General features: G+C 44.1%; 3 annotated features.

Moving 5' to 3' along the window:
* Positions 1 to 100: an enhancer, noted in NCBI's record as "active region_28753". NCBI's record gives its function as "activates an Ori minimal core promoter by ATAC-STARR-seq in GM12878 lymphoblastoid cells {active_cell/tissue: GM12878}" and the evidence as "EXISTENCE:reporter gene assay evidence [ECO:0000049][PMID:35858748]".
* Positions 131 to 230: an enhancer, noted in NCBI's record as "active region_28754". NCBI's record gives its function as "activates an Ori minimal core promoter by ATAC-STARR-seq in GM12878 lymphoblastoid cells {active_cell/tissue: GM12878}" and the evidence as "EXISTENCE:reporter gene assay evidence [ECO:0000049][PMID:35858748]".
* Positions 9,065 to 9,204: an enhancer, noted in NCBI's record as "active region_28755". NCBI's record gives its function as "activates an Ori minimal core promoter by ATAC-STARR-seq in GM12878 lymphoblastoid cells {active_cell/tissue: GM12878}" and the evidence as "EXISTENCE:reporter gene assay evidence [ECO:0000049][PMID:35858748]".

Here is a 12,494-nt window from a genome sequence, read left to right on the forward strand (position 1 = left end):
GTTTCATTGTTATTACTTTCAGCGCAGTGCAGTTGTCCATCCTTCTTCTTTCCTCTGCTGGCCCTGGCAAGTCAGATCCCCTGGAAACAGAGGTCTTATGCGATTTCTATCTGATATGAAGGAATGTAGGTATTTAAAGGACCTTGTTTTCCTAAATGCTTTTATATTTTGACAGAGAGTCCCACTCGAGCACATCTTTGGGCTATTTAAAACTTACAGAGGAATGCCTTCTGCATGTGCACATGTGCCCTGGAATCTAGGCAGAAGACCGGTTTATTTTGACTGGTGGTATTTGACAATCTGAATCACAGGCCAAGTTCGTCACGGGCTCCTCTCTGCCTCTTCCTAGCGATTGAAAGCCCACATACATGTAAGAAGCAGTCAGAATGGTTATGATGAAATGATGTAGAAAGAGAACTAGCTCCTAGCACGTGGTTAAATTCCTCGTATCCAGGCCACTTTGGGCCACATGTATGGCTCCCACTTTCACATGCACCCTCATCTTCCCATCCCATCAACTCGGGGAGGAGGGTGATATGATCAGCCTACGCTGTTCACAAGGCCACTCGGAGAAGTGGGCTGATGTGCTAGGATCACGGTCCTAAGACAACCCAGGTTCCAGACTCCAGCCAAGCCTAGCACCACTTCCTTGATACCACTGCCATCTATTCTTGGCAAAAAGAAAAGGAAAGGAAGCAAACAACTCCAAACCCCAAATTAAATCAATGATTTCCAAACAAGCTTTATTTTCTCCAGTCTCTGCGCAGCCTTTGGATGACCACTTTGGTATTAGCTCTCCCTTACTCAACTGCGTGCCTGGCAGATGAGTGTTCATACTCTTTGGTACAGTGGCAAAGCAATTGGATGATTTTAAATAATTTATTTGTGAGGTCCAAAGCAGTGGTGTCTGTGTATCTGGCGAGTTGTACTTCCTCTCTTCCCTCTCCTATTTCCCTTTCTGAATTGGTCACTTGGAATGCTGGGCTCCATGCGCATCTGTGTGCACTTGAGATCTGAAACCCAAGTGGGTGCCACCACCAGCTGCAGAAGCACGCCACTCGCTGTCATTTTTGGAAACCAAAAATGACTGGTCACATAACGGTGATTAGATAAAGCTTGTAATTTGTGTTTGCTGTAGTCAGCGACGTGGTATTTTGGGACAAACAGCCACTCTATGCTACATATAGCTTGGAATTTGCGGCTTTTTTGTAACCTGCCATTGTATGGTCAAGGAGGTAACAGAGAAAGAGGGGAGAGAGAATGGATGAAGGGAGAAAGGTCAGGAAGCCCCTCTCAGCAGACAGGCAGAGGACTTTGAGCTTTAGAGCTCAAAGAGCCCATAGAAAAATCTGTAGGTGACTCACCCTTAAGAGGGACCCCTTTCAATGTCAGGCACTGCCTGGCTTCCTGATAGTACAACCTTCCTTTCCTGACAGCTGGAGCCTCTTGACTCCCAGTGAGAGTCTCAGCCTTACCCCAGGCTTGGGAAGAAACCCTTATCTGAGCCGGAGCATGGCTGAAGCAGCTCAAGTTCAATTCTCCAGTTACTCAGCTTCTTAGTCTGGCTGATAGGTATTCTCTGATTGGCTGCTCAGTTCTAAAAGGCTTTCCTGTCCCCAGTTCTAGAAAAAATGTCCTTGCCTTTCCCTGAGTTCATGTCTCAGCTGGATAAAACCCTTTTTTGTTCACTAAACATTGACCAAGGGCCTTTACATATCAGGCCAGGAAGGATATTGGGGATGTAGAAATAAGTCAGCCCTGCAGTCACTTGTAGGATAGGGAAGAGCCAAGACTCTTTAGGAAGCCGCCAATCTTGTTTTAACCAGACCCTGTTGTTACAAGCAAACTGGGAACCACCATCCCATCAACATCCCCTAGTTGGAGTGGGAGAGAATCAATTTCTCAGGAAAGCGTCATGCTGCGACTGCAATGTAGAGAAATGGGGGCAAGAAATGGGGGAACATGCAAATCAAGAGATTTCTGATAGTTGCTCATCAATACCTCCAGTTAAGGGCTTAAAATTAAAAGCCCAAATCTCAAAAGCTCATTAGCCTTTTGAGGTAACATGAATATGCAATAGAATGATCAATACTTGGTGAATTGTTTGTCTGGCAAATAAAGAACAATTTGTGTTCCAATGGGAATCTTCAAGGACTTGCAGGTACTCCACAACATGACAAGAAACACTGATTACATAGAAGAAATCTTACTTAGGGCCGGAGTGGTGGCTCACACCTGTAATCTGAGCACTTTGGGAGACCAAGACGGGTGGATCGCTGGAGGCCAGGAGTTTGAGACCAGCCTGGCCAAGATGACGAAACCCTGTCTCTAGTAAAACTACAAAAATTAGCCAGGCAGTGGTGGCTCAGGCCTGTAATCCCAGCTACTAGGGAGGCTGAGGCACAAGAATCGCTTGAACCTGGAAGGAGAAGGTTGCAGTGAGCTGAGATGGCACCACTGCACTCCAGCCTGGGAGACAGAATGAGACTCTGCTTCTCAAAACAAAAACACCCAAGAAATGTTACGGAGGAAATCATCTTTGTATCTAGAAAGTAATTCTTTGTCTTCCGTTGGCCAGGGTCCAGGAGCTGTGTAGGAATAGCACTCTACTCCTGAAGGTGTGGGTTGGGAGCTGTTGGGGACCTGCTTCTCATGGGTTCTGAGAACAACCACTCACTGCTTCAGGTGGAGGTGCTGCCTTTGCCATCATTTAGGTTTCCTTTTGGGCTTCCAAACTCATGCCTTGAAAGCATTTCCCAGGTGCCATTTCAGACTCTAGCTCAATTCTCTCTGCTGTTGACACTGCCGTTTGCTCCAGAAATACACAATGGGGACTAGAAGGAAGGGTTTTCTGTAGCATTAGCATTCCTTTAAAAAATTTTAAAACTAGAACCCAGAATCCTTATTAGGTTACATTAAAAAGTCTTTTAGCCATCCCCCTGTCTAATATTTTGTGAAGTGTGTTCCAGGGAACCAAGTTCTACAGGATTCTGAGGATTACATGAGAAAAGGGGCAGGGATATGATGGAGACCTCTAAGTTCAAATAAATTTCTGGAATGCTGACTTCAAATAAAGTTAAACAGGTGTCTTTACTGTAAGAGTTCTCAGACTTTCAAATGCCTCAAATCTGTGGTAGATCTCTAAGAGGAGCAGGTAGTTAACTATGATTATAAAAGTTATTTGACAATGGAATTTTTGTTCTGAGGTGAGACAGAGTAGCACACAGATCTGAGTTTTATATTAAGCCAATATTTAGCCAATAGATTATTGTTATTATCATTATTATTATTTGAGATGGAGCCTTGCTTTGTTGCCCAGGCTGGAGTGCAGTGGGGCGATCTTGGCTCACTGCAATCCTTGCCTCCTGGGTTCAAGTGATTCTCATGCTTCAGCCTCCTGGGTAGCTGGGATTACAGGCACCTGCCACCATGCCCAGGTAATTTTTGTATTTTTAGTAGCGAGGGGGTTCTGCCATGTTGCCCAGGCTGGCTTCAAACTCCTGACCTCAGGTGATCCACCTGCCTCGGCCTCCCAAAGTTCTGGGATTACAGGCATGAACTACCATGTGTTGCCTAGTCAGTAGATTATAATCAGATCTTTCCTAGTTCTTCAGCTGATTGCTTAAGCCCCAAATGCCCTGTTAGCAGAGAGTCCCATTCCCTGGAATTATCCAGGAGCACTGTGCCTACCCAGGACCATTGCTGCACTGTATTTCCCTGCCTCCAAGTTGCTCTTGAGAATACCGGCCTGCCCATTCTGGCATGCCATTGTTAGTCCCATCCTAAGTCCCTTTCAAGGTGACTTCTGCTTTTACTAGTCTTTTTGTTCTGATTCTTTCATGCTCAGTCATTGTTCCCCAAAGCAGAACAGCTATGTCTGGGGCTCTGGGTCCAGGGGAGCTCCCTGCACTGAGAGCACACCAGGACAAGACCAGCCCTTCCCATAGACACTTAGGTTCTTCTGCTGAGCCTCTCTGCTCATGGCGTGGACACCTTATTACTCTAAAGATGATTTCATTTGAGGAATCAAGTTGTTCTACCTTGCCATCAGGTCATGGCTGAGGCCATCCTGCCCACTCCAACAGGTCTTCCCTACCTTAAATTTTGGGAAGCCTGGATTCTTTTTTGGATTCTTTTTTTTTTTTTTTTTTTTTTTTTTTTTTGAGACAGAGTCTCACTCTGTCACCCAGGCTGGAGTGCAGTGGTGCAATCTTGGCTCAGTGCAGCCCCCACCTCCTGGGTTTAAGCAATTTTCCTGCTTCAGCCTCCTGAGTAGCTGGGATTACAGGTGCCTGCCACCACGCCTATCTTGGCCCTGGCTTATTTATGCAAATTGATCCATCTCCTTCTAGAAGACTGGATCTGTTTTGGCAATAAGTTTCTCAAGGAGTGCCATCTTTGTTCAAAGTCAAAAAGGCACAATAAATTTTGTTGTAACTTCCATCTCTGTGAAATTTGCATACTGAAGGTTCATTTCCCTGAACAAAGAAGGTATATCCCAAAGTAATTACTCATCTCTAGCCCCAAATAGAAAAGGAAAATGTTGACATAATTGAGCCTCTCTATTCTGTTACATCAGTTCTGGGGACACTAACTCTAGTTCAACTCTTAATTAACAGATGGGGAAACTGAGGCCCAGAGGGTTGAGGGAACTTGTCTAAAGACAAAGAGCTAGGAGGTTGCAGATCCAGTGTGGAATCAGGTTGGCCTGACTCCTAATCCAGAACTCGTTCCACTGTTCCCTCAAACTTAAGACTTCCTGATTATGGCCACAGGTCATAAGTAAGAATCATCACATTCAATCAACCAGTATTTTATTTGACTGTGATTTTCTTTGAGAACACAAATATATGTAAGATATAGATTCTGCCCTTAAAGCCCTTATTATTTGTAGAAGGCAGTAAGATACACATAAAAAGTTACGCTAAATTGTAGAAAATGCCATGTGACCCCTATAAGAAGCAGAGACTGTTGGAACAACTTGGCATCTGGGTAGCTCAACATCACTTTTGTTAGGGAGCAGGCGTTTGAGCTGACTCTTGGAAGGATTTGGACAGAGAGAGGAGATTGAGAAAGAGGAAAAAAAAAGAACACTTCTAGGTAGGGGCATCTGGGGAATTGAGATAGAAAGAATAGGCTGGATAGGAATTGGGAAAAGGCCTTTTAAGCAATGGAGTTAGCATAAGCTCAGGGTTAGAGGTGTGAAATGCTTAGCATGTTTTGGGAAAGGTTGCTGGTTATCCATCGTGTCCAAGAAGGGCTAGAATAATGAGGGAGGATGACTCCTTCACCACATAACTGGGTGATCAGTGGAAGCATGCTGACCAGGGAGCACTCCAGAATGGCTGGGTTTTGATAACTTCATACATCTCAGCTCTATCTTCTGGATTCATCTCTGGGCCATATCTCTCAGGCATTGTTTAGGGTACTGTGAGTAGATCAAAGTTTCTGCTCTTGGCTCCATCTTTACTGAATTTACAACTCAATCCAAGCTCTGTCTCCATAATACCAAATATCTTAATACAGTGTGACAAAGATACAGCATTGTTTGGGTCATTTCAGGAAGAACATCTGGATATTTGAAAATATCTGGACAGTTTGCCAAAGAAAAGTAAAATAATACTTTGTATCTCAGAGTTTAGTATTATGGGACATAGACAATGTCTGAGTCACCAGTATGTCTTTTAGAATTTGGGAAATGCATTCCTTTGAAAAGAGAAGAAAATTGTCACCAGTAGTCCCACTTCTGTCTCTTGTTCACTTTCATCTTTCCTATTTGTTGCAGATATGACAAGCAATTACCCTTGAAATGTTACAGAACTAGATGGTTCACCTCTAATTGCTATTTCTCTAGGGAGAAAAAAAATAGGCCATCCCTTCTGTTTATTTAAAATTTAGTTTATTCATAAACCTGATATATATTTATTAGGCCCCTTCCTAGTTTGAGGCCCCATGTGTAACTTGAGAACAGAGATGACCAAGACACATGCCCTACTTTGCAGGAGATCACTGTCTCATAACCACGTCATCTTGTTTTTTGTTTGTTTTTTGGTGTGTGTTTTGTTTTGTTTTGTTTTTTTGAGATAGAGTCTCACTCTATTGCCCAGGCTGGAGTGCAGTGGCGTGATCTTGGCTCACTGCAGCCTGTCTGTCCTGGGTTCAAGCAGTCCTCCTGCCTCAGTCTCCTGAGTAGCTGAGTTTACGGGCATGAGCCACTATGCCTGGCTAAATTTTTTTTTTTTTCTTTTTTTTTTTTTATTTTTAGTAGAGACGGGGTTTCACCGTGATGGCCAGGCTGGTCTTGAGCTCCTGACCTCAGGTGACTTGCCTGCCTCAGCTTCCCAAAGTGCTGGGATTATAGGCATGAGCCACCGCACCTGGCCATCAGGTCATCTTAACCTGATTTAATCATGATTTCATTCGTTATTGCTGTTAAAATATTCTATTGTATGAATATACTGCAATTTATTTGTTCTTTAATTGATAGACAGCTGGTTGCTTCTGGTTTGGAGCTCTTATGAACAAAGGTGCTGTGAACATTCTAGAACATGGACTTGTAAAAATTCTGTTTAGAGTAGCTTTAAAAATAATCGCTGGTTTTGTTTTATTTTACTTTTTTGAGTTAAATTTGAATTTTCACATATGAATACACTCACATTCCTACCACCAGATCAAGGTATCGAACACTCCCAATACCCTCAAAGGCTCTCTTATGCCCCCTCCCAGTCAACACTCCACTCCCCATAACCCCTGTTTGGACTTCAATCACTGCAGAGTAAGTCTCCTGTTCTTAAACTTCCTGTAAATATGATTATATACAAATGGCTTCTTTTGCCCAAAAAAAAAAAAAAAAAAGATACAGCTATGCAGCTGAAATAGGCAATTGCTGGCAGGGCCTTTTTTTTTTTTTTTTTTTAACTTCCACTCCTCTGGTGAGCAGACAGTTATCGAATCCATCTCTGTGAATGCTTGTTATGGAGTGAATGACTTGGAAGCCAACAAAGGTTGAAGGGAAGGCCAGCTGGACCACCTCCCAGGGCACCAATCCATGGGCCAAATTTCCTGGGCATGAATTGGAAATATGGAGGTCATTTATTTAGAAATCTGGGTGCAACACTTTACTTAATTGGCAAAATGTAAATTGGTCCTTTTCTCACCCAAGACAAAACGTCTTTGAGTGGAAGTTTAAAAAAAAAAAAAAAAAGGCCCTGCTAGCAATTGCCTATTTCAGCTGCATAGCTGCATATATTTTTTTGACATGCTCAGGCAAAAGCAGTCAGCTGAGACTCTGGAATCAAAGAGTTTGTTGATGTAGTGTTCTTTATCTTAGTGATTCATTTCATTATCTCAATTTAAGCCCTTTAGTAATTCTCTCAAAAAGTTACTTTGCTTCAGAAAATCACAAAAGACAACTGGAGGTAGTTTCAGAACCACAGAAAAATAGGAAATGTCTTTCTTTTTTTAGAGACTGGGTCTTGCTTTCTCACCCAGGCTAGAGAGCAGTGGGACAATCATAGTTCACTGCAGCCTCCAACTTCTGGGCTCAAGCAGTCCTCTCACTGAGGCCTTGCAATGTGCTGGGACTACAAGTGAGGGCCACCTTTCCTGGTCCTCCCCTCTTTTTTTTCTTTTCTTTTCTTTTTTTAAATGAACATAGAATCTCTTTTGGTCTTGGGAGTGAATTATCAGGAGACTCTTTTATTGAATATAATTTGTATTAAAAGAAAATAATTGTTTTTTTCATCCCCCTTAAAAAAAAGTTGAACATTGGCTGGGTGTATGGTGGGTCACACCTGTAATCCCAGCAGTTTAGGAAACCGAGGCAGGAGGGTTGCTTGAGCTCAGGAGTTCAAGACCAGCCTAGGCAACATTGCAAGACCTCGATTCTACTAAAAATAATAATAATAAAAAACTTAGCTGGGTGTGGTGGCGTGTACCTGTGGTCCCATCTACTTGGGAGGCTGAGGTGGAAGGATTGTTTGGGAGATTGAGGCTGCAATGAGCTCTGATTGTGCCACTGCACTCCACCTTGGGTGACAGAATGAGAACGTGTCTTTAAAAAAAATGTTGAAAGGGCATTTGAAGAAAATTGTTTGATGGTGTCACAAATTGTAATCTTACCAGTCCTTACCCCCTACCCCAAGAAGATTAATGTAATCCTAACGGATTTTTCAATGAGGTGAGAACACATGGAAGAGAAAGTGGGCTTGCTCATTTCTGGTTAGAGGGGCAGCTGTGATTGGCAGAAGGGCCGAAGAAGATCAAGTTTGGGAAGGCAGGCTGCAGAGCGGTGCTTTTTTACCTTGCCTGCACTTTGGAATTGTATGAGCAGTCCCTAAGGCTGCTGATGGCTTGTAGACTGGGTATGGGTTGTGTTCAAGCTCCCCAGTTGATTACAGAAACAGCCAGGTGGAAGGTTGCTGCTTAGGAAATGGCCCAGCAGCTAGGAGAGGTATTTTTCCTGAAGAGGATTCCAGGGCCCTGGTTCTCAAAGTCTGTTCCCCAGACCAACAGCATCAACATCACTTGGGAACTCGTTAGAGAAGCATATTCCTGGGTTCCACCCCAGACCTGCTGAATCAGAAATCTAGGGATAGAGAGGCCCAGCAATCTGCATTTAATAGGCTCTCCAGGTGCTCCTCACACACTAAAGTTTGATAATGACTGATGTAAGGAAAGGTGGCCTTTATGAGAAGCTGGGGAGGGGAAAGCAATGTAATGGTGATGCAAGGGAGTGAGGCACGCTCCCATCAGGTTGCAGAGACAGCAACCTGGAAGGACTTTCCCTAAGGAACAGACAACAAACACAAGGGGAGTACTCGAGGGGAATGAAAGCAAGATCTAGAAAGGTCAGACTTCACACAGAATGATGCCAACTGGTCCTCTTCCTCACCTAGGAACCTGCCATTGCCTCTTGGCTACACTTAGGGCACTTAGAGCAGTTTTCTCAGCTAAGTGGCTGATGGTGAATGTGACACACTTTGTGCAGGGGGCTCTGGGCTGCTGTGGTGGTCTGAGAAACAAGGCCAGGGTTTCCCCTTGCAGTAGAAAGAGGGGATTCATGTCCCTATTCTGCAGTTGTTCCGCCCCAGTGCAGCAAGGATGACCTCTTTGCTTTCTGTCTTGCTTTCACTTCTGCCTTCCCCTCTGACTCACACACAGCACGGTGGCTCTGAGGACAGTTGTCCTTTTCCTTGGAAGAGTCAGAGATTTAGAATTAATGACTTTATGGAGGGCATAGTGAAGGTGAACTCTGCACCAGGGAATTTGTTTGGCTTACTTGATATAGTACCATTTAACAAATATTTCTAGTGTGCCTACTCTGCATCAGAACTTGGGCCAGTCGCACCAGGAAAACAGAGAGAGGACACACAGGCCTGGCCTTTAGGAAGCTTATGAAGATATTTGCTGGTGGAGGAGAAAAATCATAGATCAATGTCTTCTGCCTGAAAGGTGCTATCATTAGAGCAATCTTTTAGGTTTATACACAGATCAGGACATGTTTGATAGCAAAAGTGTGAGCTACTAACAGTTATGCTAAGAAAACAGGCATCAAGTGAGATTCTCCGGGAAGACTCAACTGGAAGCATGGCCATCATCGCCATGCTGTGCAGAGCCTGCAGTGTTGGCCAGTAGTGGTTTAGCCCACAACCTAGGGCTAAACCCCACTTTGTGTGTTGCCCCTCCGAAGCTCCCTCGTATGTACCACACTTCACCCCATACCAGCTTTTAGAATTAGCAGCTATCGTAGAGGGAGGCAGCATGTCCCACCCCATACGGAGTACCATGCCACTCCTGTGAGGACCCAGCTGTGGTTCTGACCCTCAGGTGTAATGCCCAGGCTTCTTTCTTGGCCACCGTCCCAGCTCTCCTTCATATTCTGAGTGTGCAACACTGGGCATGTTACAAAATTTCTTGGATCCTCATCTCTTTCATCCATTAAATGGTACTCCAATTTTATAGAAATTTGTTGGATCTGGAGGGTCCATTTACGCTGGTTTTCGGTAGACATCTTTTCTCCTCTTAAGGTCAAAGTTAAATGCCTGCATTATTATTATACTGTGTCTTTTGTGAAGATGTCCACTGAATTTGGACGTCAATTTCCCCCACTTAATGCCTACACACGATGTGTGAGCATCACTAAAACTGACCTAAAATTATTTTTCTGGTTCCAACAAACATTTCTTGAGTGCTACGTTCCAGGCAGTGAACTAGGTGCTCTAGCACTTTCAAGCTCTTTTATCTTTTTAAATTTTAATTAATTCATAAATTAATTTATGTATTTTTGAGACAGATCTCACTCTGTCACCCAGGCAGGAGTGCAGTGCCTCCATCTCAGGTCACTGCAACCTCCGCCTCCCGGGTTCAAGTGATTCTTGTGCCTCAGCCTCCTGAGTAGGTGGGATTACAGGCAAGTGCCACCACGCCTGGCTAATTTTTATGTTTTTAGTAAAGACGAGGTTTCTTCATGTTAGCCAGGCTGGTCCTGAACTCCTGGCCTCAAGTGATCTGCCCACCTCAGCCTCCCAAAGTGCTGGGATTACAGGCATGAACCACTGCACCCAGGCCTTCTTTTATCCATTAAAAAAAAATGTATTGCATCTATTTAACATTTTTTATCTTAAGCCTCACAATGACCTTATGATGTAAATGATAATTAAGCTCATTTTACAGATGAGGTAAAACAACTTCCCCAAGATACACACTGCAGACAGCAAGTCTGGGTCTTCTGACTCCCCATCAGGCACCTGATCCAAGACTTCACAGCTACAAAATCAAGAGACAAGGGCTGGGTGCAGTGGCTCACGCCTATAATCCCAGGACTTTGGGAGGCTGAGGCGGGCAGATCACGAGGTCAGGAGATCGAGACCATCCTGGCTAACACGGTGAAACCCTGTCTCTACTAAAAATACAAAAAAATTAGCCAGGCGTGGTGGCGGGTGCCTGTAGTCCCAGCTACTCAGGAGGCCGAGGCAGGAGAATGGCGTGAACCCAGGAGGTGGAGCTTGCAGTGAGCCAAGATCCGGCCACTGCTCTCCAGCCTGGGTGACAGAGCAAGGCTCCGTCTCAAAAAAAAAGAAAATCAAGAGACAAGAATAGAAAGATCATAATTTTGAAAGGACTTACTTAAGTACATTACAAAATTCTTTATCACGCTGACATGCTAGGGAGAATCACTTGTCTTAATAAAAGCACCATGCCATGGCCAAAAAACTATATAAAATAGCAAAGTCTCATAATCTCTTAATATTGGTATCACCTGGCAGCTTGTTAGAACTGGAGAACCTCAGGCCCTATTTTGCACCTACTGAATCAGAATCTGCATTTTAACAAAACCCCTAGATCTTTAAAAATGTCAAAGTCTGAAAGGCACTCTGGTTTTCATAGGCACAGGAGAGACCCTTCTAAGGGATCTTAGAAAGTTAGAGGTAGGACAAGGGAACTGATTTAATTAGCAGTGTTAGATAGACTAATCAATCCTGGCCGAATGAAATAAACATCTGGGAAGTTTTTTGTTTGTTTGTTTGTTTGTTTTTTAATGCCTTTCAAGCCCCACCCCATACCAATTCCATTAGATTCTCTGGGACTGGGCCCGGGTTGGTATTTTAAAAATTCCCCAGGTGATTCCTACGTGCAGCCGTGGGTAGGGAGTATTGACCGACTGGGTTCTAGGCATTTTTCACTTGATCTCATTTAATACTAAAAAAAAAAATCAACTTATTTTGCTCATTTTGCATATAAGACAACTGAGGTTGCAAGCAGACCAGCAGTGAGTAAATTGTAGAGCTGGAATTCTAGCCCAGATCTCTCTGGCCCCAAGTCCTGAGTCCTGACCGACTCAGGGAAATAAGCTGCCTCTGGCTGGCTACTTACCCAGGGTTCTTCCGAACCCTTCCAAACTCTCCCACATCTCCACTTAGCTGCATGTTTCATTCTTCAAGGCCAATTTTCTCAGCAAAGCAGTTTCCCATCACCTGAATCCAAACTGATGTCTTTCTGCCGCACTCCTGCCATGCTCAGTCATGGACAGCTGGTGACCTCTTAGTGGCTCAGAGTTGAAGTGTATGAAAATGTCCCACCCAGCCCAGGGGGCCAGCAGGTCCTTTCTGTGCTCAGAGCAGACAAGCACCACAGACAAGCACCCTGCCAATCAATTGCTGATTATCTCATCTCATGCAATCCACTCCTGACTTTGCTCATTTCCAAACATCAGAAACCTTTCCTGGAGGCAACTTCCCATCCCCTCACCAGCAAGGGCCTGTTGCATGACTGTTGCTCCACAGATCCAGTTTTTGAAAAGAGTTTGACCACCAGACAAATAATATTTAGTGAATGATGGTTGATTTTACTTTAAAAATCAATCACATCACTCAGAGTTCCTTTCACCTGAGAGCTAACTAGAGCTTCAGGCTGATTTGATGCACTTTATACCTCTTGGCCTGGACTTCTGGCATGTTTTTCATTTCCGAACATCCTTCCTCCCTATTGCCCTG

The sequence above is a fragment of the Homo sapiens genome, chromosome 9 (assembly GCF_000001405.40).
Source record: "Homo sapiens chromosome 9, GRCh38.p14 Primary Assembly".
In the NCBI taxonomy this organism is placed as follows: domain Eukaryota; kingdom Metazoa; phylum Chordata; class Mammalia; order Primates; family Hominidae; genus Homo; species Homo sapiens.